The following is a 26971-nucleotide window of genomic DNA, read 5'->3' on the forward strand; positions in this document are numbered from 1 at the left end:
GACCACCTGTCTTCTAGGCACCAGGCTGGGGCATGTGCTGGGATATTCACTCAGCCCCCTGCCCATGGTCATGAGAAACCCCAGTCTTCTGCCCACAGTGCAGGAGGGACCTGACCGCAGTGGCATTTTGCACACCTGCCCGGCCTCCAAGTCCTGCAGCTCGAATGAGCTTGCTTGCTGCAGGCGGCCTGCTCCATCTTGAGGCTTGTCTGGAAAGGCGGCTTCGGCTTTCCAGTGCTTTCCAGCGCTTTCCAGCTTCTGAGATTTTGGGGGCTTTTCATTTGTTCTTGCTTTCCTGTCCTCTTTGTCAGGTGAGTTTATACCTTTCTGTTCCAAAGCAAACAGGATCGTCTGCCATGTTGAACTGGATGTCGGACAATTCTGAAATGTGTGCATGGGGCAAGGCTGTGTGTGATGATACCAGTTTCATAGGAAACACTTCGGTTTTGGTTTTGTCTTTCAAAGTCATCTTTTGTGAGCGCCTTCTAGCCGGGCTGCCAGCGGGTAACATATGATTAACACAAGTTTGGAGTCTGTCTGCAGAGCAACTTTATGAAATGCTCAGAAAGCCAGTCTCCTAAGCATAGGAGCCTGTTTGGTGGTGATGGGATGAGGAAGCAGTGGGGGCTTTGGCACCAGAGGCCTGGGCTCAAATCCTGCCTCCATCATTTAGGGGTTGGGCATCTCCATTCCCTTATCTCTGGGTGGCGAGAACTTCCTAAGTTCTTAGTGTTTGGAAGGGACCCCCTCCATAAAGTGAGGTGCCTCTTGGCCACTGCTCAGCCAGTGGGGGCTGTTCCTAACAGTTGCCTCCTCCGATTGCTGGAGTAAGAAATGACACCCTGTCTCCCATTTCTGTGGCACCCCATTCTCAACAGTGATGGTTCTGCCTGTTTTTAGTCACACACACCTGCACACTTCAAAGGACTAAAAATGGACTCAGTTTTCTTTCTTTTTTTTTCTTTTTGAGATGAAGTCTCACTCTATCACCCAGGCTGGAGTGCAGTGGCATCATCTTGGCTCACTGCAACCTCCGCCTCCTGGGTTCAAGCGATTCTTGTGCCTCAGCCTCCCAAGTAGCTGGGACTACAGGCATGTGCCACCACACCCAGCTAATTTTGTATTTTTAGTAGAGGTGGGGTTTCACCAGGCTGGTCTCAAACTCCTGACCTCAAGTGATCCTCCCACCTCAGCCTCCCGAAGTGCTGGGATGACAGGTGTGAGCCACCTCGCCCGGCCTGGACTCAATTTGGATTGCAATGCCCCACAATGGTGACCTCCCTCTTCTCTGTTAATGCATCCTCTTCCCTCTTGCTTAAAAATTTCCCCAGTGCCGTGGCATCTTACCTCCTGCTGAAGTGTGTGCTGATGCTTTGCTGGGGGCTGGACCCCGTCCCTTGGAGCCTGGCCCAGGCCCTGCCTCCCAGTGAAACCCTGGCCGCCTTTCCAACCTCAGAGGCTCTATCTCCTCCCAAACCCTGTAGCCCTTCCAGTTGCTGGTCACTGACTTCCATTAATTGGCCCGGTGGCCTTGCCTGCCAGGGGGACCATGAGGTGAGGGGCCGTGTCCTCCGAGTGGTCTCTTTCTCCAGGGTGCTGGGGACCCAAGAAATGCCTGGTCGTTTCTCATAGGTTGATAAGGAAAATGAGGCCTAGGTAGGGACAGGCAGGATTTCACCTGAATTTACAAGATGATGCAATGGAAGAGTCTTCAGTATATTTTCACGTATTTTAGAATTGAGTTACAACATTCATTTTGGTACTTTCTCTGTGTTCTCCCCATGTGTTAAAAAGCAGCTTAAGGCCGGGCGCGGTGGCTCATGCCTGTAATCCCAGCACTTTGGGAGGTCAAGGCGGGTGGATCACGAGGTCAGGAATTCCAGACCAGCCTGGCCAACATGGTGAAACCCCGTCTCTACTAAAAATACAAAAATTAGCTGGGCGCAGTGGCAGACGCCTGTAATCCCAGCTACTCGGGAGGCTGAGGCAGGGGAATCGCTTGAACCCGAGAGGCGGAGGTTGCAGTGAGCCAAGATTGTGCCATTGCACTCCAGCCTGGGCGGTAGAAGGAGTTTCCAGCTCAAAAAAAAAAAAAAAAATGCAGCTTAAGTGCTGGTTTAGCGCCTGTAATCCCAGCACGTTGGGAGGCTGAGGCGGGAGGATCACTTGAGCCCAGGAGTTTGTGACTAGCCTGGGCAACATAGCAAGAACCCGTCTGTACAAAAAATAAGAAAAATTGGCCAGGTGTGGTGGCGTGCATCTGTAGTCTCAGCTCCTTGGGGGCTGAGGCTGAAGGATCGCTTGAGTCCAGCAGGAGGTCAAGGCTGCAGTGAGCTATGATCAAGCCATTGCACTCCAGTCTGGGTGACAGAGTGAGACCCTGTCTCAAAAAAAAAAAAAAAAAAAAAAAAGGAAACAAGAAAGAAAAAAGCAGCTAAATTCTGCTGGAAGTGTGCAGTAAAGCACAAGTTTTCAGCCATCAACGCAGGGAGCCGTTAATCACGACCCATAATAACCAGAATGTTATTCCACGGTTGCGGTTTGTTTATTTCATCAGAGTTGCGTCTTCACCTATTTCCCTCCCTACTCTTAATTGTTTATCCAAGTTAGTGTTTTCCATTCTTTCACTGAAGGCTCTAAAAATGGTCCCATCAAGAAGTCTGGTAGATAATGGAAGACGAAGTGGACTTTACAGAAAGATGAATTTTCTTCCCTAGAGCTGGAAAACCCTTCAGCGTGTCATGCGTTCCCCAGCCAGGACAGACAAAGCCACGCAATCTGTTTCCTGCAGGCCCAGAGGGGAAGGCTTCCTCCTTGTGGTTAGTGACTTCAAAAGCTGTCCTCACTAGAGCAAGTCCAACTCTTCCTCTAGTTCTGATGACTTCACGGCAGCCAACTGAGCTGCTGAACGCTGTTTTTTTCTACGCAGAAACCCTCCCGACTTTCACGAGGAGTTGACAGGTTTTCCTCTTCACTCGGGCTCCCTTGTCATCGTTAAACTGAAACTGCTTTCTTGTAGCCAAATTCTGTGGTCCCTTTTCGGCCTCGGCCTCCTTGACCTCTCTGTGTCCCCACCTTGGCTCTCCCACGCCTGCCAGCCGTACCACAGGCCCCGGGTGTGAACCCTCCCTCCGCGGTCATGCAGCCACGCCTCTGCTCAAGCTGTGCCTCCTCCTGGGCGCACCCTCCCTCTCCCATCCTTCAGCCTCTGAAGTCCTGCCCAGCTCCGGTTCCTGTTTCTGTTAGGACGAGGCCCTTCAGATCCTCTCCAGCAGGTGGACTCTGTCCTGCCCCGTACCACCCGCCGCGGGCCACTTTTGGGCCTGCGCCATGTTCCTGCCCTTACCCCGCCCGGTGTTAGCGTCACGTGGGTCCTGATGTCCTCCCTCTCCCAGGCCTCTGCTTATCTGATTGGGGGCTGTGCTTGACTCTGAAACCCGGGCACCTCCTACAGGGCATTTTGCCTGTCACAGGCCTAGCATTCAATACCTATCATATTTTTGAAATATCTGCAGAAATAAAAAGAAATAACTATTTTCTTCTTCAGGAGTTAAGATGCGTGGCCACCAAGTACTTTTCAATACATAAAATATGTTTTCAGCACAGAAAGGCCTTTCACCGCTCTTACTTACATAGTCTGCTTTTGGTATGATGGGGACGGATGAAAAATGAGGACTGTAGGCCTCCGAAGTCAGCTGTTTTGAATTAAAGCAGCGCACGCTTTGAGTCAGGTGAAGCGAGGATGGGGTTTCACCCGTTGAGGATGAATTTGCTGGGTTACTTTAAACTGGAACTGTTCTTTTCAGAAATGAGTGAAGCAGGAAGGGAAAGACGGAGCTTGTCTGGCTGGGTCGGATGACCCCCTTTGCCAGGCCGTCACCCCTCTAGGTTGAGTTAGCTCAGAATAACTTAGCTGTGCTATAGCTTTGCATAATTGCAAGGAGCTTTGTTTCGTTTTATTTTGCAGGGAATTTTTTTCCCCCCTTAGCTCTTCCTCCTGGTGTATTTGTAGAAATCAGCTTCATCATGGTCATTTAACAGTAAGGGCTGGGGGTGGTGGCTCACGCCTGTAATCCCAGCACTTTGGGAGGCCGAAGTGGGAGGATCACTTGAGGTCAGGAGTTCAAGACCAGCCTGGCCAACATGGTGAAACCCCGTCTCTACTAAAAATACAAAAATTAGCCGAATGTGGTGGCACGCACCTGTACTCCCAGCTCCTCGGGAGGCTGAGGCAGGAGAATCACTTGAACCCAGGAGGCGGAGGTTACAGTGAGCCAAGATGGTGCCACTGCACTCCAACCTGGGCAACAGAGCGAGACTCTGTCTCAAAAAAAGAGAAAACAGAACATACTATTTTTGTTGTTTCTGAGGAGTAGGGTTTCTTACCAGGGAACCTGCTTTAAAAAAATGCAGTATGTAGATTCCTTAAGAATAAAGTTAAGCAGCAGCTAACCAAGCACATGGCTAAAAACCCGGCCAAGAGCATTGTAGTATCTGGTTTTGGGGTTGGTGGTGGGGATCCCATTTTAGAGGCCGACTTTGGTTTGTGATGGTTAGGTTTTACTTTCTTAGGTCTCAGCTCACATGTCCCCTTCTCAGAGGAGCCATCCTCACCCATCCCTTCTTGGTCCCTCCCGCCTTCCCTGACTTTTTCTTCTTCAATGACTTATCTGCACATGATCCCCTACTTATAAAACCTGTGTCTTCCACTCCTCTCACCCGAAAGAATGTTTGAATTCTGAAAACAATGACTTTGTTCTTAGCACCCACAACAGCAAATGCTCAGTGAGCCCTATGTTGAGTGAGTTAGTTGTGAGCTGTGGTGGTTTAGTGAGGGTATACTTTGGCCCTTAGAATGCGAATGCCTTTTTTTTTTTTTTTTTTTTTTGAGATGGCGTCTTGCTCTGTGGCCCAGGCTGGAGTGCAGTGGCACGATCTTAGCTCACTGCAACCTCCGCCTCCCAGGTTCGAGAGATTCTCCTGCTTCAGCCTCCTGAGTAGCTGGGATTACACACACTCGCTACCATGCTCGGCTAATTTTTATATTTTTAGTAGAGACTAGGTTTCGCCATGTTGGCCAGGCTGGACTCAAACTCCTGACCTCAGGTGATCCGCTTCCCTCGGTCTCCCAGGGAATGGCTGTTTAATCACAAGAAAGTCTTCCCTTCATGCGTTGTGAAAACCAGCAGTATTTTAATTGAAGAAATCCGGTATTGTTTGGCTTTCTAGATTTGGAAGTAGGTCAGGTGGCTAATGATTGAAAATGGACCGGCAACCAGAGGGCCTTTGGAAACTCTAGCTCGACTTCAGGCTATAGTTTTGTTTATGCCCTTGTCACTAAAGGCACTGCCCATGAGAGCTGGGTTTGCAGTCCCTGCTGAGCCTGGGGTTGAGAGCAGAGCCCTAGAGTAACTCAGCAAAGGCATCCCTCCCTGCACCTGAGCTGGGGGAGAGGCGGCTTATGATTAACTCAGCGATGTCTCAAATGCCATTTCTAGAGGCTGAACACATTAACTTTTAAAAAATGATTTAAAAATTACCAATTGACCGTATCCGGGGCTGAACCTGCGTGATTCAGCTTCTTTTAAAAATATCTTTTCTCAACAAATTGCTTCCTTAACATTTTAATTTGTTGATCATCAAGGAAGCTTGCCAAATATTAGCTGTTCTTTTCCATTTCCTACCGCCTCAAGCTTCCCGTATTTGGCCTATTTCAGTGGAGCTGTAAGGTCACTCCCTATTTTTCTTCCCAAATAACTGTATTTATTACTGTCAGGTATTGGCGGGTTTGATCCAGCTGTCATCAGAACGTTTGGAAATACCGTTTTTTGCCAGAATGCTGATTTAATGATCTCATACTGACATGGCTTGTTCTCTCTGCAGACTTGATAACTTGTTGAATATGTTCCCTCTTCTTATTGAGCAATGGTGCTTTTTGAAAATTTTTCCCAGCCAGAAGGCTTCATGGGTAGTATCTTTAAGATCCTAGCAGAAGGTTGCTTTTCTCTCTCTCTCTCTCTCAGTCCTTTCTTTTTCTCTTTTCTTTGCTTCTTTCCTTCTTTCCTTTTTCTTTCTTTTCTTTCTTCTCTTTCTTTCTCTTTTCTTGGCTTATTTCCTTCTTTCCTTTGTCTTTCTTTGCTCCTTCCTTCCTTCCTTTTCTTCCTTCCCCTTTCTTTTTCCTTCCCTCCCTCCCTCCCTACCTTCCTCCCTTCCTTCCTTCCTCTCTCTTTCTGTCTCTCTGTCTCTGCCTGCTTTTTCCTCTCTCTCTCTGTCTCTCCCCCCTTCTCCCCTCTCCTATCCTCTTCTTCCTTTTTTCTTTTTTTGGAAGGCCCAGATTAGTAGCAGAGACTCTCCTTGAAGGGGATAGATGCATTGTCGCTGTTTGGTATTTTGAACAGATTCTTAAGAAAATGTTTTCCTGGTGGAAGATTTCAGACACACATGAGGTGAGAATAATGAACCCTGTGTGCTGCCCCCAGCATGATCAGTTCCAAACTATTGGCCTGTCTAGTTTCATCTCCGCCCCTGCCTACTCCTGGAATTTTGAAAAGGACATCATATTATTTTCTCCATAAATATTTCAGTATGTATCTCTAAAAGATAATGTCACTTCGAAAAAAATACCTAATACCACGATCACACCTAAAACATAAATGAACAATATGAAGGATGAGTTTCTGCTGTGTGGCATGGCAGAATGATGCTCTGTGGGGTCCCAGGGGAGAGGTGAGCTAAGTTCAGTGTGTCACCTGCTGTCACCTGCCATCACCTGTCCCAGGGCCTGGGGCTAGCCACTGCTCTTTTGTGAGCCTCAGTTTCTTCATCTATAAAACTAGAGGATTGTACTAGTCTGTCTGTCTTTCCTTCCTTTCCTCCCTTTCCTGTCCTGTCCTGTCCTTTCCTTTCCTTTATCCTCTCTCTCTTTTATCTCCCCTTCCTCCCTTCCTTCCTTCCTTCCTTCCTTCCTTCCTTCCTTCCTTCCTTCCTTCCCTCCTTCCCCTCTCTTCTTCTCTCTTTCCTTTTTTTAAAGAGACAGAGTCTTGTTGTGTCACCCAGGCTGGAGTGCAGTGGTGCAGCCATAGCTCACTGCAGCCTTGACCTGGTAGTCTCAAGTGATCCTCCCACCTCAGCCTGTGAGGTTCCGGGAACACAGGTGGGCAACACCATGCCTGGCTAATTTTTAAATTTTTTGTAGAGACAGGCTAGTCTTGAACTGGCCTCAAGCGATCCTCTTGCCTCAGGCCCCCAAAGTGCCGGGTTTATAGGCTGAGCCACTGCACCCGGCCTGCACTAGTTTTTTTTGTCTCTAGAAATCTGCATCTCTGAATGTGTTAGGTCCTGACCTGCTTTAGAACGGATCTCAGCCACCCTGCTCCTTCGAACCCACATTTCTGCCCCGTGTCTGCTGGTCGCAGGAATTGGCACATTTTCCTTTAGCTGCGCCCACCAGTCCTTGCACGCATACTCCTGGTCACTTTTTTAATGTCTGGCAGATGGTTTCAAGTGCAATGGCGTCTCTGCGTAATAGTTGATTCTCTAAAGAACAGAGTCTACTAAGTGGAAGCTGCGTTTCCACATTTAGCAGTTAGCTGTTAAGAGCCAGTAACAGGTGCAAATTTGCAACCCGTTTTTTCCCCAATCTTTTGGAATGGAAATGGTTCAGTCATTTGAATTTAACAAACTGCCTGCCCGGCATGCACTGCAGATGCTGGGCTGCAAAGCTGGTTTTGGTGCTGGTTGGCCCCCTGGGTGCCCCTGTCTACTGAGGGTGGGACAGGCGGAGGACTGGGGGCTCAGTGCTGCAGAGGCACATGTAGGGTGGGGTGGGGTGGGGTGGAGAAGAAGTCCTGACCAGTCCTGATTTGGTGGTGCTGGTGCTTATGGGCTAGTGAGATTTCTGCATGCCCAGGCTGGCTGGTAGCCATGTGTCAGTCACTCATAATCCCAGTACCAGAGTTATCATCACCCCTAACTTTTTTTTTTTTTTGAGACGGAGCCTCACTCTGTGGCCCAGGCTGGAGTGCGGTGGCACGATCTCGGCTTACTGCAACCTCCACCTCCCGGAGTCTCCCTCTGTGGCCCAGGCTGGAGTGCAGTGGCACAATCTCGGCTCACTACAACCTCCACCTCCCGGGTTCAAGCGATTCTCCTGCCTCAGCCTCCCACGTAGCTGGGATTACAGGCGCCTGCCACCATGCCCGGCAAATTTTTATATTTTTAATAGAGATGGGGTTTCACCATGTTGGCCAGGCTGGTCTCAAACTCCTGACCTCATATGATTCGCCCACCTTGGCCTCCCAAAGTGTTGGGGTTACAGGCATGAGCCACTGTGCCCGGCCACCCCTAATGTTTTGATTTATTTCCTTTGAATTTTTTTTTCTCTGAATAAATGGATTGATGATATCTATTGACATAGTCAGAAACTCAAGAAACATCTATGGAGCATCTAGCCATGGAGCAGACACTCCTGTTGGTCTCGGGGGTGTGTGGCGGGAAGGTCAGAGTCCTTCTAGTCCTCCAAGAGCTTCCAGTCTGGTGGGTCCCTAGAATATAATACATTGTGTGTTGTCGTAGGCGGGACTTGCACGCTGTGCAGTTGGCTTTACGGTTGACACCAGGCCACCAGTGGCCTCCTCCGCCTGCCCTTCCAGCCTGCGGTTGTCCTTCAGCTGCTGCCTGTGAAATGTGATCCTTTCCATAAGTCCCCAGCACAGAGACTGGGAAGGCAGTTTCTAAGAAGGCCCTTCTGTTGGGCTGGCTCAGAACCTGCCCCCTTTCCTCTGACTTGCCTATAAAAAGGTGGGTTTTTCCTCCTGCCTATAAAAAGGTGGGATTTCACACTGACATAATTTACATCGAGGGACATATTAAACCTGGTGTAATTTGCAAGTGTGCCCTGAACACGTTTCATCATCAGGCTCGTTGTGGAGACCACGGTGTCCCTTTCCTTCCCATCGTAAGTCCCCGGTGTGTGTGTGTGTGTGGAAAGTTTAGAGCTCCCAAAGTTTAGAGCTCAGAGAGGATAAAGACCCGTATTACTAAACTTATCAGGAAAATGTGGCTTCAGATTATTTTTTTTCACAGCAATAATTGCATTTCATGTATTTTTTTTTTTTACTTATTACAGAAAATTTCAAATATATACCCAAACAGAAGAAGATCATGAATGCTTTTGTGTCCATGACTCAGCTTCAATAATAATTATTTACTTGTCGCTGGCCTTGTCTTATCTGTAACTTTCTCATCGCTCACCCGACTTAAATTTTGAAACAAATCCCAGACATCATATCTTTTGCCATCCACAGATACATCAGTGTGTATCTCTAAAAGAGAAGGACTTTGCAAAAAGTACAACCACAATACCATTAGCACACCCTCGAAAAATGACAAAGATTCATCAATATCAGCTATCCAATATCAAACTGCCACTTTCCCACAAATGTCATAATTAAAAAAAAATTTGTTTCAATCAGAACAAGAAAATCCAAGTGAGATTCAAGAGTCCCGCTGGGACTGGTTCATGTGTCTTTGTCTTTTGAGAGTTCTTTTTTTTTTTTTTCTTCTTTTTTTTTTGAGATGGAGTCTCCTTCTGTCGCCCAGGCTGGAGTGCAGTGGCATGATCTTGGCTCACTGCAACCTCTGCCTCTTGAGTTAAAGCGATTCTCCTGCCTCAGCCTCCCGAGTAGCTGGGATTATAGGCATGTGCCACCATACCCAGCTAATTTTTATATTTTTAGTAGAGACGAGGTTTCGCCATGTTGGCCAGGCTTGTCTCAAACTCCTGGCCTTAAGTGATCCACCCGCCTCGGCCTCCCACAGTGTGGGGATTACAGGTGTGAGCCACTGCGCCCAGCCAGGGCTCTTTTTATATTGCAAAACTGAAACTCTGCACCCATTAAACAATAACACTCCATTTCTTCCCCACCATGCCCTGGCAACCATGATTCCACTTTGTCTCTATGCCTTTGACCACTCTAGGTCCCTCGTCTAAGTGGAATCATACAGTATTGTCTTTCTGTGACTGGCTCAGTTCACTTAGCACAGTGTCAAAGTTCCTCCATGTCGTAGCTTGTGTCAGAATTTCCTTTCTTTCTAAGGCTGAACAATATTCCGTGGTGTGTGTATACCCCATTTTGTGTATTCATTCATCAATCAGTGGATGCTTGCGTTGCTTCTACCATTTGGCTGTGGTGACACTGTGTGAACTCTGGTGTGTATATATCTCTTCAAGACCCAGTTTTCGTTTCTTTTGAGTTTATACCCAAAAGTGGAATTCTGTTTGGGTTGCACCATTTTAAATTCCCACCAATGGTGCACAAGGGTTCCAATTTCTCCACAGCCTCGCCAGCATTTGTCATTTTCTGGATTGTTTTTTTTTTTTTGGAGACAGGATCTCACTGTGTTGCCCAGGCTGGAGTGCAGTGGCACAATCATGGCTCACTGGATCCTTGACCTCCTAGGCTCAATCAATCCATCCACCTCAGCCTCCTGAGTAGCTGGGACTATAGGTGTGCACCACCACACCCCGCTAATTTTTATATTTTTTTGTAGAGATGGCGTCTTGCTGTGTTGCCCAGGTTGGTCTTGAACTCCTGAGCTCAAGCGATCCTGCTGCCTTGGTCTCCCAAAGTGCTGGGGTTATAGGGGTGAGCCACCATGCCTAGCCTGGATTTTTTTCTTTTTTAATGGTAGACATCTTAGTGGGTTTAAGGTGGTATCTCATTGTGGTTTTGATTTGCATTTCCCTAATAGATAGTTATTTTTATTTTTATTTAAAGGGAGTCTCGCTCTGTCGCCCAGGCTGGGGTGCAGGGGTGCTATCTTGGCTCACTGCAACCTCTGCCTCCTAGGTTCAAGCAATTCTCCTGTCTCAGCCTCCCGAGTAGCTGGGACTACAGGCGCACACCACCATGCCCAGCTAATTTTTATATTTTTAGTAGAGATGAGGTTTCACCATATTGGTCAGACTGGTCTCGAACTCCTGACCTCAGGTGATCCACCTGCCTTGGCCTCCCAAAGGGCTGGGATTACAGGCATGAGCCACTGTGCCCAGCCTAATAGATAGTTATTTTTAATACTTATTTAAGCTTCATGTTTCAACTGGGGGTGCTTCATGATATATTAATATTTAATGAGCCACCTTAATTATTTCTAAAAAAGTAAAAAAGGGAAATACTATCTCCCACATGGTATTATTCATGATGTATATCTTTTTTTTAAATGTTTTGTAGAATCGGACCAAAATCAGACCAATCCTCTCAGTTTATCACAAAGATACCAAAACCCAGAGAGAATGAGGCTTTGCCTTAGCCTCGGCCCTGGGAGATAGAAGAGGAGCCTGGGGCCTGGGTTCCCCCTGCCGTGGCTGCCCAGTCCTTCCGCTGACACCATTTCGAGGTCCCCTTGTGGAACTTCTGTGGGAGGCCAGGTGCACAAAGTCCGGTTTGTTGAGCTACAGATGCCCGCCAGCAGTTGCTGTTATTATAGACTGGTTGTTCTGATTTGTCAAGAAACCCAGAACAACTGTTTTTCTTCTTTGCAGTGGATGTGTGTGCACATGACCTTTTGAGAACATATTTCCTGATGTGGTGGAGGCACTGATGTTCGTGCAGACTAGCTAAGTTAAATCTTCATTTCTTTCAGCTGAAATTGCCTGGCTGCTCCTTTAAGAAGTGCACTGTGTGGAGTTATCATGTTTCTCATGCTGTTAAATGTTTACTGGCAATCCTGTCTACTTTAGCGTATTGTTGTCAAATGACAAGGGAGTCCCCTGTCAGAGAGCAATGACACAGCCTGTACTTTTGGGGGCAGCCAGCGTCCGAGCGTTTCCACATTCATTCTTACGCAGTTGGTAGGCTCAGGATGTTTGTGAACGCCGAAGGGTGTGCGTGCACCCTGGAGTGTGGAGATACTAGCATGCTATTTAATGATGGCCACCACGGGACGTGCGCACTCATTCATTAAGCTAACGTTTTATGGTTTGTTGAGTGAAAGCAGGCACAATGGTAGGTAGTGGGTACTGGAGCAAATGACTGCACCGGCCCTCATGGGACTTCCATTTCAGTGGATTCAGGGGAAAGCAGCACGTGTTTTTGAGAGACCTTGGCAACGCAGGCGACCTTGACGTCGACCAAAAGAAGAGAGATTTGGAATGCTTGTTTTACAGCCTCCGGTCAAAAAAAATCATATGGGACCCTTTATTGCAGACTGGAACATTTATTTCAAGGTCTCAAATTAAACTAGAGGAGGCCAGGCATGGTGGCTCACACCTGTAATCCCAGCATGTTGGGAGGCTGAGGTGGGAGGATTGCTTGAGCCCAGGAATTTGAGACCTGTTTGGGCAACATAGTGAGACCCCAATCTCTACTAAAAAAATAAAAATTAGGCTGGGCATGGTGGCTCACGCCTGTAATTGCTGCACTTTGGGAGGCTGAGGTGGGTGGATCACTTGAGGCCAGGGGTTCGAGACCAGCTTGGCCAACATGGCGACACCCCATCTCTACTTAAAAAAAAAACAAAACAAAAATTAGCTGAGTGTGGTAGTGCACGCCTGTATTTCCAGCTACTTGGGAGGCTGAGGAACTAGAATCTCGAACCTGGGAGGTAAAGGTTGCGGTGAGCCGGGATTGCACCACTGCACTCCAGCCTGGGTGACTGAGTGAGACGCTGTCTCAACAAGAACAAAAACTAACCAGTTGTGGTAGCACTTGCCTGTAGTACCAGCTATTTGGGAGGCTGAGGTGGGAGGATCACTTGAGCACAGGAGTTGGAGGCTGCAGTGAGTCATGATCATACCGTGGCATTCCAGCCTGGGTGACAGAGCAAGACCCTGTCTCTTAAAAAAAAGTTAAACTAGAGTAGATAAATGAGCAGGCATAGTTGTTTGCTGATCATTCACCGTTGAGACAATGAACAGCTCGTTAAATAAATTGTTGGTAACAATGAAATCAGGAGAATTTCAATCCTGAGTCAGTGTACACAATACAAGGCACAAAACGTTGAGTTAAAGGTGGTTCTACTTTGCCCTCTAAGCATTTTATTGACTTCAAAACCTACAAAGGCGGCGCCATGGCATATAGGAATATAGGAATAAGGCATATAGGAATAAGAAGTTTCAAAAAGTTTCATAAAAGTTGTATTTGGGGCTGGGCATGGTGGCTCACGCCTGTAATCCCTGCGCTTTGGGAGGCCAAGGTGGGTGGATCACTTGAGGTCAGGAGTTCGAGACCAGCCTGGCCAACATGGCGAAACGCCATCTCTACTAAAAATACAAAAACTAGCCGGGCGTGGTGGTGCCTGTAATCCCACCTACCCGGGAGGCTGAGGCAGGAGAATGGCTTGAACCTCGGAGGCGGAGGCTGCAGTGAGCTGAGATTGTGCCACTGCACTCCAGCCTGGGAGACAGAGCAAGACTCTGTCTTGAAAAAATAGAAGTAAAAAAAGAGAGAGAGAAAAGCAAATTACCTGAAATCCAGAAAGATCAGAGAAGGGAAGGAATGGCTGGAGTAAGTGTTGATCAGCGGACACACTCAAGGGTTTCGTAATGTGCTCGCCCTGCCCCAGGCATCAAGGGAGGTGCTCACTCTGTGCACTCTGAATCCCACCAGGGGCCCACCTGCCACCCTGTTCTCACCTGTGACCACTCACGGCAGCCACAAGAGGCACAGGTGTTAGGTCTGCCCCAGCCACAACACCTCAGCACGTGGTGTGTGGCTTCAACCAGGTCACCGTGGGCACACTGGGAGGGGAGGGCTTCTGTGCGGCCACGCTTAATAAACAGTCTGCCTGGGAAACTGAGCATCCAAAGTGCCCTCTGAAGGAGCGGGATGCTGCTGCCCGTGGTGGCTCCGTCACACGCATTCTGGAAGGTACCTCCCGGTAAGCAACCTGATGTTTCATCTGTCACTGTTGATGCATCTCCATGTTAGAGAATTAAGCATATGGAAGCAAAACACCTCAGGAATACAGAACGCATTCATGATCACCACGGAAAATCAAATCAACTCAAAGTCCAAATGCAACTTTTTTTTTTTTTCTGAGACAGGGTCTTGCTGTGTTGCCCAGGCTGGAGTGCAGTGGCACGATCTCAGCTCTTAGTAGAGATGGGGTTTCACCATGTTGGCCAGGCTGGTCTTGAACTCCTGACTTCAAGTGATCTGCCCGCCTTGGCCTCCTAAAGTGCTGGGATTACAAGTATGAGCCACTGTGCCTGGCCTCTCTTTTTTAAAAAAAATAGAGATGAGGTCTCGCTATGTTACCCAGGCTGGTCTCAAACTCCCGGCCTCAAGCGATCCTCTTGCCTTCACCTCCCAAAGTGCTTTGATTACAGGCGAGCTTTTCTCTTTTTAAGCCAACTTGTGAGTAGAATCATTCACTTGTGCCTTTAGCTGTTGTCTCTGTGTTGAGGAATCCAGAGTCCAGTCCTTCTAGACTTATCTGGGGACCCGAGTTTCCTTCTGTAGAGTTAAAACCTGTTGCATCCATCCCCAGTCCCTTTACGGCACCTGTGTAGGCCTGTAGTGGAGCTGGCTTTTGTCCTTTGCTGTCCCTGGCTGAGCCTTGGCCTCATCTTGGGCCAGCGCCTCCTCCCCTGGGCTGCTGTGATGTGTTGGCATTTCCTGGGTAGAGTCTTGTACTTGCTGTTTTCTCCTGTCTCAGTCTTTTCCCCCAGGGACCTGGCATGTCTGTGTGTTGGGGACCCTTTGCTCATCTTACACACTGAGGACAGGCACCTTAGCGCTTGGTGCCCTGGGATGGAACAGCCACTGGACAGCCAGCCCTGTGCCCTGTGTCCACTGCAAACCTGATCCTGTTTTTTGGAGCCCTTCACTTGGCAATGAGACCTTCATGGGTGGGGTTACTGAAGCAGGAGTTGGTTTAAGTTAAATACCATCAGCCGCAAAGCTCAGAATGGATGATGAAGTGCTTTAGGGGTTGACAGGGCAGAGCTGGCTGTAGGGAGTGATGGAGAGAGGCTCCCAGGAGGGGAACCCTCTGACGTGGGAGTTAAAGGACTGGGGCCATTTGTCGTGGGGGGATGGGAGCAGTGGCTTGGGAAGGGACAGAACGGGAGCAAGAGGGCCTTGCGCACTGATGCTTTTGAGGACTGAATCTGAACGGGAGAGTGGGGAGAGGGCTGGAAACCTGGGCGAGAACAGGAGAGGAGAGGCCCCTGGATGCCAGCAGAGCTGTAGGCATGATCTGGGCCATGCCCTGGGAGACGCTTCCGCAGGAGATGGTGCGGCTGGGGTGGAGACTTCCTGGCTTCCGAGGGCGGGCGAGGGGGCAAAGGGCCTGGGGCATGGACTTGGGCAGGTAGCAAAGGCCAGAAGGAGTGGGAGTCATTCCACCTGGGATGTGGGAATGGCTGGTGGGGGCAGGTAGGGGGAGACCAGGATGAGCCCCATGTGCGCGTGACCTGTGGCAGAGGGGCTGTGTCAGAGCCCCGGCTGGCGAGAGGAGCATCACTGTGTCCAGAGGACGCGGTGCCTTTCAGACCCCTTGAGTAAGAGACAGAGTGGGTCTGTCCTGTCTAGGCTGAGTTTTCATTGCCCAGCACAGTGCCTGGCACACAGTAGGTGCTTAATAAACACGTGGACTGAACACAAGAGGTTGAGGGGAAAGGTCGGAATTGGCCACAGGTCTCCTAATGCCTGGCATGTGCGTCAACGCATCTCTGAGGATGGAATTTAAAGGCAAGAGCTGGAGGCCCAGGGCTGAGGCTGTGGGGTGAGCACAGCATTTGCGGGGCGCGGGAAGGGAGTGGCTGGTGGGGCGGGGGAGGGAAACCAGCACGTTAGAAGGTCAGCCAAGGTCAGGCGGCCAGCAGGGCGGGAGGAGGCGTTGGTGTGCACACGCGGGGAGCCTCCGTGTCCTCAGGACACCATGGAAGACGGCAGGACACACGTGCGAGCCACAGCAGGTGGGCGGGAGCTCACAGGCTGCAGAGGAAGCGCAGGGGAGGCGCAGGGGAGGCCAGGCTCTGGCATTTCCCAGGAATGTAAACCCCGGTTTCAGCTTTCCCCGTGGCTCCCCTCCGCCAAATCTTAAATCCTCTTGTTAAGACGCGCTCCGCCCCTGTGTCCTTATTTCCCACCGTGGTGGGCAGCTTGTCTGCCATCCCCTTCCAGGTGCCCCGCAGAACCACCACCCTTGGGAAGGCGGCTCCTCGTGCCCCCCCTCTTGTGCCTTCCCTCCCCAGTGCCTTTTCTGACCCCCTCCTGAGACCGCCTCCCTGTGGGCCATTTGAGCACCTGTAGCTTTCCATCCGGTGTCTTCACCCCTTTGCTCTTTGTAGCTGTCTCACCCCGCTGCAGCTTGTGAGGCCATGCAGGCCCTGATGTTTAGTGTTTTTTTTGTTTTTTTTTTTTTTTTTAAAGACAGCATCTCCCTTTGTCACCCAGACCGTTGTACAGTGGCACCATCCTAGCTCACTGCAGCCTCAACCTTCTGGGCATAAGCAATCCTCCCACCTCAGACTCCTGAGTATCTAGGACTACAGGCTCTTGCACCCACCACACCGGGCTAATTTTTGTATTTTGTTGTTGTTGTTGTTTTGTGGAGACAGTGTTTCACCATGTTGCTCAGTCTGGTTTCGAACTCCTGGCCTCAAGCAATTCACCCGCCTTGGCCTCTTAAGTACCGGGATTACAGGCATGAGACATTCCCTAATGTTTAGTTTTAAAGAGGGGGTGGTGCTATTTATCTCCAGGCTCAAAGCAGGGCATTCTTTCCTTAGGATCTGCGATACTCCAGTCAAGGCTGTTTCTTTTCTGCCTTTTGTAAAACTCTTGTCTAGAAATTAATGGATGAGGGAAGCTAGGGACTCTTCTCAGATTATTTCTTGTGAAAACCTCAAGAGTCTGAATTTACAGGGAAATCTTACAATTAGCTCGATGTGGATTACAGAGCGGCAAACAACCTTAAGTGGTAGAGCTGGTTCTGCAAGATTTTTCCAACCCTTTGTGGTCTAGTTTTCATTTTTCCCCTTTTAAAGTTGTTTTCAGCTAAAGCTGTGAGGACAGTATAGAGTTTTGCCTTGTAAAATTGGTAGTGAGTAATTTTAGAATAGATGCTTATGAAGTCTGTAAATAAATAGTAAGGCGCCTCGCCTAGTTCCACGCACATGTCAGTTTCGTAACTATCTCCCCAAGCTGAGCTCACCTGCCAGTGCCTTGGATGGACCTAGCCACCAGGGGCTGCAGATGAGTAGGAGAGCGGGTGTTGCCCAGAGCAGGGCGGACACCCCTGTTCCCTGTCATGTTTTCTTCTCAAAACCTGCTGCAGGCCATTGGAGAGCATTCCTGTTGCTCTCTGCACCCCTCTTTCTGAAGCATTTTACTGTGTGATCCTAGCATCCGTGGTTCAGGAGATCCTGCTACATTTTCCTGACTGCCTTGCTCTGCCCGGGAATACCTGGCTTATCAGCAGAATACAGGCCTCTGCTTAACTGAATTTGGTCCTGTAGTGAGGACTAAGAAGTGATGTACTCAGTTACATGATAATTCTAAAAAATAAAAAAAAGCCTTTTTTTTTTTTTGTTAACACCCATCATAGTGGCAGAATCTTAAGTCTGCATGTAGAGGGGGTTGGCAGGGCAGTAGAAGCAGGGGGCCCTGTGTCCTGTTGGTAGAAGAGTGAGCAGAATGGCCACTGGAGAGCCACTTGGTGGAGGTGCCTGCAGCACAGCGAGCAGCCTCCTTCCCAGATGAAGCATGCATCTTAGAGGCGACCTTGGGCACGTGCACAGTGAGACAGGTACAGGAGTGTCTGTTGTCATATATTCCATGGGAGTGCAAGAGCCGGAAGGATGCAGATGTGCATGGGTGGTGCTGGCCCCCATCAGGTGGCATCTAGTAGAAGTAAGTAAGGGTGGTGGTGGCATGTGTGGTCACCTTGCCAGCGTCGCCTCGCACAGGAAAGGGCTGTTGAAAATTTGTGGGCCGGGTGCCGTGGCTCTCGCCTGTAATCCCAGTTCTTTGGGAGGCCAAGGCGGGTGGATCACCTGAGGTCAGGAGTTCAAGACCACCCTGGCCAAGTTGGTGAAACCCCGTCTCTACTAAAAATTAAAAAATTGACTGGGCATGGCAGTGTGTGCCTGTAATCCCAGCTACTTGGGAGGCTGAGGCAGGAGAATCGCTTGAACCCCGGAAGTGGAGGTTGCAGTGAGCCAAGATTGCACCACTGCACTCCAGCCTTGGCGACAGAGCGAGACTCCATCCCCCCAAAAAAAAAAAAAGAAAAGAAAGTTGTGTGCAGCGTGATTCTGTGAGTTCAAGATGCAAAGCAATGACTTTACATTATTAAAGATCTAGCAGACATAGAAGGATATTTTATTTATTTGTTTATTTATTTTTGAGACAGAGTCTCTCTCTGTTGCCCAGTTTGGAGTGCAGTGGCATGATCTTGGCTCACTGCAACCTCTGCCTCTTGGGTTCAAGTGATTCTCATGCTGCAGTCTCCCGAGTAGCTGGGATTACAGGCGCCCATCACCACGCCCGGCTAATTTTTGTATTTTTAGTAGAGACGGGGTTTCACCATGTTGGCCAGGTTGGTCTTGAATTCCTGACCTCAAATGATCCACCCACCTTGGCCTCCCAAAGTGTTGGGATTACAGGCATGAGCCACCGCGCCCGGCCCATAGAAGGATTTTTTTGGGGGGAAAGAATCTGTAAAGTGATTATTTTGGAGGTGGAGAGGAGAAAATGAGACTAAAGAAGATAGAGTGGGGGCTTCTATGATTTTTTTTTTTTTTTTAAATAGATATGACAAAATGATAAAATTTGGTAAAGCTATGTGTTAGGTACATAGGAATTTATACTTTTCTGTATGCGTGAAATATTACGAAAAAATAAAGCCACATACACTATCTGTTTTTGTGTGTGTATGTGTCAATAGGATTTAGGCCTTTTTTGCACTTCTAGGTTAAAGTTTTCAAGATGAGGGTATTTTTTCCCCCTCTCTGTTAGAGAATACTAAAGTTATGTTGGTTTTATTTTTTATTTTATTTATTTACTTAGTTTTTACAATGTACCATTTTAATCATTTGGGTATCCTTTTTAAAATCTCTGAGCTTTTTTATTTTTTATTTTTTTTGAGACGGAGTCTCGCTCTGTCACCCGGGCTGGAGTGCAGTGGCCCGATCTCAGCTCGCTGCAACCTCCGCCTCCCAGGTTCAAGTGATTCTCCTGCCTCAGCCTCCCGAGTAGCTGGGATTACAGGCATGCACTGTCATGGCCAGTTAATTTTTGTATTTTTAGTAGAGACGGGGTTTCACCATGTTGGCCAGGATGGTCTTGATCTCCTGACCTTGTGATCCTCCCATCTAGGTCTCCCAAAGTGCTAGGATTACAGGCGTGAGCCACCGCGCCTGGCCTCAGCTTCTTTTTTTTTTTTTTTTTTTTAATTTTTATTTTAAGTTCCATAGTACATGTGCAGGATGTACAGGTTTGTTACATAGGTAAACGTGTGTACCATGGTGGTTTGCTGCACCTAGGTATTAAGCCCAGCATGCATTAGCTATTTTTCCTAATGCTATCCCTCCCCCCACCCCATATGTTTTATTTTATTTTTTATAGAGACAGGGCCTCACTATGTTGCCCAGGCTGATCTCAAATTCCTGGCCTAAAGCGATCCTCCCACCTCAGCCTCCCAAAATGTTGGGATTACCAAGTGTGAGCCACCATGCCTGGTATTATGTTGGCTTTAATTATATTTGTGGAAGAACTTCTATGTTCTCTTTCCTTATTTTAAATATTGGGAGATAGATGAAACATTTTAGGTTTCTCTACATTTGAAGAAGAGGTATATTTTCTTAGGTTCTTCTTTTTGTGAGACAGAGTGCAGTGGCACGATCTTGGCTCACTGCAACCTCCACTTCCCGAGTTCAAGCGATTCTCCTGCCTCAGCCTCCGGAGTAGCTGGGATTACAGGCGTGCACTACCACACTCGGCTAATTTTTTGTATTTTTAGTAGAGACAGGGTTTTGCCATATTGGTCAGGTTGGTCTCGAACTCCTGGCCTCAGGTGATCCGCCTGCCTCAGCCTCCCAAAGTGCTGGGAATACAGGCATGAGCTACCGCGTCCTGCCAGGTTCTCCTTTTGATAGAATAATATAGGTACTTGCCTCTGTTTCTATTCAGTATCAGTGAATTATCTACAGGAAAATGAACACAGGAAGACTGCTGAAGTAAAGAGGCCCACAGTGCCTGCATTCCCTTGCCTCATGTAGTCTTAGACTATTCAGGATGCTTTGAAAAGAGTAAACTGTAAATCATATTTCATATTCTTTGGGCCAGGAGTCTGGAATGGTTTCATATTGCCTGTGAAACAAGAGATGCTTCTCAGAATGAGATTTCTGGCTTAATTGAATTCGGATTATTGCAGGCAGGATGGGAGTGAAATGGTACATTCCTTTCATGCCAGTTGTGGAGAGGATCTCCGTGCAGGCCGTTGATAGAATAATATCCTGTGCTTCCTTGGTGTCTCTCTCTGAGGAAATAAGGGCTTAATATGTCCTATTCAATTAATCCTCACCGCATCCTTAAAGGTGACTGGAAGGCAGATAGTATTAACTCCATTTTACTTAAAAAGCAGCGGAAACATGGTGATTTGGAACTCCCTGGGAGCCCTCGAACTTTTCTCTAAACTCCACCGGTAGCTGAGGAGCAGGACACACGCACAGAGGAAGGACATATTTATGGCGCATCGCCTTGGTGCCAGGCACCGTTGGGAACTTTTTAGGATCGTGATGTCTTTGAATTCTCAGGACGTTTCTGCGAGGTGGTGGGCGGTATCATCCTGGTTTTTCAGGGAGAAGTCAAGTCACTGGCCCAGGTCCTCAAGCTGGCCAGTGTGGCCCGGTCTGACCCCGAGGTTCTGCCCGGGTTTCTGTCCCTCCAGCCTGGCATCGTGAACTCAGGGGAAACAGATGGGGAATCTGTTGTTGTAACAAAGATTCTAAGGATTTGAAGCAAAATCAACACACTCAGTTGTAGAGGGTACCACGTGGTTGATACCATTGAAGACAATTGCACCTAAATGAAATAATTTGATGGCGTGGAGTCCAGTTTCAGAGCGTTTGCATCACACCTTCTGACACCAGGCTGGGGGGCCGCCTGTCCCAGAGCATCGAGGACAGACACCGCTGCTGTTAGACCTCATTCCACCCCTTTAGTGGGGACCCACCGCGCGCTGGCCGCAAGCCTATTTTAATTTGTAACAATTCTGCTTGATGACAGGAAGACGTCAAAAAGGAGAAATCAGGCTAACTGGGGCTCCTTGTCCACTTGGGGGGCATGTCTCAGTGTCTTGCCTGGGGCCTTGTACACACCCTCTCTTACCGGGAGTAAAGTGAGGTTTAGAAAGATTACCTTTGTCCTGGGTCATTCTTCCTTAAATCACAGCTAGGATGCAAACCCAGACCTCTCTGATGTCAGTTTGCAAGCTCTTTCAGGTACCGTCAGCCACATGCCAGGCCTTCAGTGGGGTGATGTTTTTTGTTGTTTTTAGAAAATACTGCTATTCACTCATGGGAAATAGGGACGAGGGCTTAGATTTCAGCTGCTTTGCATTAGACAATGATTTCTCTTATTATAAGCAGAGCTCTCTATTAACCAAAAACACTTGGCTGTTAGACATGGTGTTTAATTGCTGTTAGAATGTATTTTTGTCACACTGCCCTATAATAAGCCAAAGAACTGTTTGTGCCAAACAGTGAAGGGAAGCTAGGGGAGGATGAAAACTGTGCCTGCTACTCCACCTCCCTTCTTTCGAGGTCGTGGTGTTTTGTTTGCTGTTTTAGCTGTGGTGTGTGTGTACCACTCGTACCTTTCACAGGAGGACACCTCATCTGAATACCAGTCAGGACCTGAGACGCGTTGAGCCCCTCCCCACAGTGCCCACGGGTAGGTGCGCCGCTCTCTGCCCCTTCCGGGAGCTCTGCTTTTTCTACCTTTAGAGATTTCTTTCATCCTCTATTACGTAGGCCTGACTTTTTGCCTAATAAAGGAAAAACAACCATCTATTTAGCACTCTTTTTTTTTTTCCCAAAATGGAAATGACTTTCTCTCTGATTTTTACAAAGCAAAAAATGAGAGTAAAGATTAAGAAACTACAAGAAATTATGGTGAAGGGAGTAAAGATGGCCATGAATCCTATGACTGCCGATGGTTTGGTCCCAGGATGCATTATTCAGATATTTTCTCCCTGTGGGCTTATGTAAACAGAAAGCTAGGTGAGTGGAAGTAACACGTCAAATACTGATTTGTGGCTGGGTGCGGTGGCTCACGCCTGTAATCCCAGCACTTTGGGAGGCCGAAGTGGGTGGATCACCTGAGGCCAGGAGTTCGAGACTAGCCTGGCCAACATGGCGAAACCCCATCTCTACTAAAAATAAAAAATTAACCAGGTGTGGTGGCACACGCTTGTAGTCCCAGCTACTCTGGAGGCTGAGGCAGGAGAGTCGCTTGATCCTAGGAGGCGGAGGTTGCAGTGAGCCGAGATGGTGCCACTGCGTTCCAGCCTGGGCGACAGATTAAAAAAAAAACAAAAAAAAAACCTGATTTGCAACAATTTTGTGTCCTAGCCTAGAGTTTACCGTGCTATTGAAAATATCTTTCGGCTGGGCGCGCTGGCTCATGCCTGTAATCCCAGCAGTTTGGGAGGCCAAGGCAGGCGGATCACGAGATCAGGAGATCGAGACCATCCTGGCCAACATGGTGAAACCCTGTCTCCACTAAAATAGAAAAAATTAGCCAGGCGTGGTGGCACGCACCTGTAGTCCCAGCTACTCAGGAGGCTGAGGCAGGGGAATCGTTTGAACCTGGGAGGTGGAGGTTGCAGTGAGTTGAGATCGGGCCACTGTGCTCTGACCTGGCAACATAGCAAAACTCCGTCTAAAAAAAAAAAGAAAAATGAAAAAGAAAATATCTTTCAATGATAGTTAATATATATATACACACACACACTGTATTTGAAGTGACATGTTACATGGTTTTCCACTATATGATTTCTCATATTTCATCAAATTGATCCTCTTGAACTCCTGACCTCAAGTGATCTGCCTGCCTCGGCCTCCCAAAGTGCTGAGATTCCAGGCGTGAGCCACCGCACCCGGCCTCTGATCTTTTTTTCATCTTTTTCCTAGTTTCTGACCTCACTACCACTCTGCACCACGTTGGGATGGGTATCCTTGTACATCCGTGCAGCTTTTCTATGATTTTTAATGTCTGATTATTTTCTTAGGTTAAATTTCTAAAAGTAGAAGTGAACAGCGTGTGCACATTTTTATGACTTTGGGTACATTTCATTACATTACTTTCCAGAAAAGTTGGAACAATTCATAGCAGTAACTGCACTGAATTTCTTGTATTACTTACCTATTTTTAAGCAAGTAATATAATCTCTTGGTTCCAAAAACAAAGCATAAAGAAAAGTCTCCTATCTGCCTACCTCCCCACCCACTGTTGTTGATTTTTTGGTGTGTATCCTTCCAGAGTTTCATTATATACACAGAAACAAATACCAGTGTCACCCTCCTTTGTATGCACATAGTCTAGCATGCCATGCACACTCTTGTGCAAGTGGCTTTTTATTTTTTAAAATTAACAGGCCAGGTACAGTGGCTCATGCCTGTAAACCCAGCACTTTGGGAGGCCAAGGAAGGCGGATCACTTGAGGTCAGGAGTTTGAGATCAGCCTGGCCAACATGGCAAAACCCCGTCTCTACTAAAAATACAAAAATTAGCTGGGCATGGTGGCGGGCACGTGTAATCCCAGCTACTGGGGAGGCTGAGGCAGGAGAATCGCTTGAGCCCAGGAGGTGGAGGTTTCAGTGAGCCGAGACCGTCCCACTGCACTCCAGCCTGGGTGACAGAACGAGACTCTGTTTCCAAAATAAATAAATAAAAATTAACAGTGTTTCTTACACTTTTCAAATCAGTACATTAAAATCCCTCCAATTGTGTGTGTGTGTGTGTGTGTGTGTGTGTGTGTGTGTGTGTGTGTGTTTATTAAAGCGACACCATTGTTCAATGATATGAATAGGTATATTTTATATACTTGGTTCCATTTTGATAGATATTTGGGTTGCTTCCTTGAAGAATGTTGTGCGTACACCGTTTGACACAGGTGCAAGCTTATCTGCAGGGGGAAGCCGATTTGCAGGACTCATTCCTATAGGGAGAGGGGCCAGGCCCAGGGACTTAAGTGTTTGTGAATTTGTAGGAACTGCCAGATTACCCACACTTAGCAGTTTACACCCCTTCCCTCCAGCACTGGCTGCAGAGAGCCCTGTCCTCCAGGGCCCTAATGCTAATTCTTTCATGATTGCACTAATTATATGCACAAAAGGAATGCAACAGAACAAAACAAACCACCTGGTTTTGTAGGTGTGGAAGTGCACATTGCAGTAAGGAGTCAATGAAATCGGTTACTGTGGGACAGGACCCTCCCCTCCCCTTGGTTATTTTACTAACTTGGAATAACGCCACTTCCTTGTAGGAAACAGGCAGTGACTGTCAGTGAGTGTGCCTAGGAGAGGGGTGGGTCCTTTTAGAGACCAACCTCGCAGTTAGCCAGCAACAGGCTGCAGCTTAGCTAGATGAAAAGTTAGTTTGAGAAACTGAAGTCATTGCCGCTAAGGCTGGCAAGGTGTGGCTGGGGCCAAGTTGGGGGAATGTCGTAGTAGCCGGCCCTGTGCGCCTGAGCCCACAATTACTGCGTCGCTGCTGGGGTCTGGCAAAGCTCACCTTGATGCAGTTTTGTTCAAAGCAGTGCAATTTCCAAGCCTCAAAACAGATCCTTTTCAATACAATGTGATTGTAAAAATTCTATTAATAAAGAGAAAAAAAAGACGCACCAGCGGCTTACAAGATCTTTTTTTGTTTTTTTTTTTAAGAGACAGAGTTTCACTGTCGCCGAGGCTGAAGTGCAGTGGTATGATCTCGGCTCACTGCAACCTCCGCCTCCCAGGCTCACACAATTCTCCTGCCTGAGCCTCCTGAGTAGCTGGGATTACAGGCGCGCACCACCATGCCGGGCCAATTTTGTATTTTTAGTAGAGATGGGGTTTCGCCATGTTGGCCAGGCTGGTCTCAAACTCCTGACCTCAGGTGATCCTCCTGCCTGGGCCTCCCAAAGTGCTGGGATTACAGGCATGAGCCACTGCACCCAGTCACGAGATCTTAAAGTAGAAGTAACTATGGTATTTTTTTCGAGAATTCTGTTAGGGCGAGAAGCCCATTCGTACTGTGCTGGAACCATCCTGACCCTGTCTGTTCTTTGCAGGAACTCAAACCAATATGCCTAAGTAGCTGAAACTGTTGCATTTCAAAGCCTTTTCAAGCATATCTTGAGGACACTGTTCCCTGCAGCTGAACTGAAGTCTTGATCTGAGCCCAGGAGGAGTCCCTGGGGTTGTCTTGTTGGGGGTGGGGAAGTGGGAATGCTTGCATTCAGCTTTGGGGGACCTTAACCCTTTGCCCCCTCCCCTGTCCCCCCTTCACATAGCTTTAACATGAAAGTCTTTCTGTCTGTCAGATCTCCCCTGTACAAAGAGTGGTCTACTCTAAAAATTGCTTTGAAATTGGAATGGACCCCTCCCTCTCTTCTATTTTAGTTCTAGTTTCTAGCTCTTTAAAATAATGCAACTTTTCGCTTTATTGTTCTAAATCAATGCATTCTAGCCGTTGGCTGTCCCAGTTGCTTCCCTGTGGCTGGGAGCCCCTCTCTGTGGTTGAGGCTGGTCTTACCATTGCTCCAGTTGTCTTCGGCCTTCTGGGGCTTACTTCCCCTGCCCTGGAGGCCTGAGGCCAGCCAGCCAGTGTGGTGTGACCCCCCTGACAGTGGGCTCTCCCGGCTGGCCCAGTTGAGGGTGGTCAGTTCCTTTTGTGGCCTTGCCTTCTTGGGAGATAAAAGTGGCCCCCTGGGTGCCGTGCGGCCCGCCCGCAGGGTCCTTGGTGGAGCTCCAGCATTGATTCCTGCAGGTTCAGCTCCTGCCCCAAGGCAGCGTCCAGCTGGCTGAGTGGGGTTCTCCCAGGGTCTCTAAGCACAGGACAGCCTGCTTCTGCATGGGGGCGCACAGGGGACCGCAGAGTCACACTCAGACCCTTCTACCACCTCCTGACTTGTGGACTTTGGTGGTGGGTGGCGACAAACTGGAGTCCACTGGGTCTGTGGCAGAGAAAGGTGGCTTTGCTGGGGGCTGGGGGAGAGGAGGCGTTTTTGGATCGCAGCATATACCTTGTCTAGAATTGTATAAAAACCTACAGGAAAAGGCTGATTTTTTTTTAAAAAGGCTGTTTTTTTAAAAACAACTAAAGGCACAAAAACTCCAAGTGTGAGAATATCCAGAATGCGTTTATATAATGTGCACCGTTGAAAGGAACATTGAAAAAACAAAAAACTCCGAGGAACAGGTCATTGGGTTTGGAGAAGTTTCCTTCAGAAAGTTCTCTTCCTGCTCGTTCACTGTGGATTAAAGCTCGTTGGCAATTTCGGAAGTTCACGTTCTTGAGACTCGGTGCCTTTGGAACAATGGCTCACAATGAGGACGGTGTGCGTTCCCGGCAAGAATGAGTGTTGGGGGCTTTTCTCCTTATCACCCGTTCCCCAGACCCCTCTCATCGGCCTCATAAAGAAACAGATGGTTCATCAGGAATAGCTCAGAAATCACGTTGGCTCCTGGCTGTATAAAGAGTGGGAACTGGGATCATAAACATTTGAAATCTCCTAGGAAAGGACAATGATTCCCTCAATGAAATATTGATGTAAAGGGAGCATTTTAAAAGGCAGAAATGATGAACCTGATTCAGGTTGAAGCTGGTAGTGTACTTTAACCTTTTTGAGAATTGTTAATTTAAAAGCAAATAGAATGAAATATAGACTATAAAAGCAGATTAAATCATTTTTATGCATCCTGGGTTTTTTGGTGTCACGTGACAGGAAGAGTTACTACAAAGAAGACCAGGTT

At 48.1% G+C, this 26971-nt stretch overlaps 1 protein-coding gene across 25 annotated transcripts in view, besides 3 other annotated features; it reads left to right on the forward strand.

Moving 5' to 3' along the window:
- Positions 1-26971, forward strand: part of CUX1 (cut like homeobox 1) — a 467952-nt gene that overhangs the window by 37789 nt on the left and 403192 nt on the right. The gene's annotated exons all lie outside the window — the stretch shown is intronic.
- Positions 3127-3256: an enhancer, noted in NCBI's record as "active region_26410". NCBI's record gives its function as "activates an Ori minimal core promoter by ATAC-STARR-seq in GM12878 lymphoblastoid cells {active_cell/tissue: GM12878}" and the evidence as "EXISTENCE:reporter gene assay evidence [ECO:0000049][PMID:35858748]".
- Positions 7064-7777: an enhancer, noted in NCBI's record as "H3K27ac-H3K4me1 hESC enhancer chr7:101504139-101504852 (GRCh37/hg19 assembly coordinates)". NCBI's record gives its function as "activates a minimal SCP1, AML or CMV promoter by ChIP-STARR-seq in primed H9 embryonic stem cells {active_cell/tissue: H9 hESC(primed)}" and the evidence as "EXISTENCE:reporter gene assay evidence [ECO:0000049][PMID:30033119]".
- Positions 23246-24051: an enhancer, noted in NCBI's record as "H3K4me1 hESC enhancer chr7:101520321-101521126 (GRCh37/hg19 assembly coordinates)". NCBI's record gives its function as "activates a minimal SCP1, AML or CMV promoter by ChIP-STARR-seq in naive H9 embryonic stem cells {active_cell/tissue: H9 hESC(naive)}" and the evidence as "EXISTENCE:reporter gene assay evidence [ECO:0000049][PMID:30033119]".

This window comes from Homo sapiens, chromosome 7, assembly GCF_000001405.40.
Source record: "Homo sapiens chromosome 7, GRCh38.p14 Primary Assembly".
Lineage (NCBI taxonomy): Eukaryota > Metazoa > Chordata > Mammalia > Primates > Hominidae > Homo > Homo sapiens.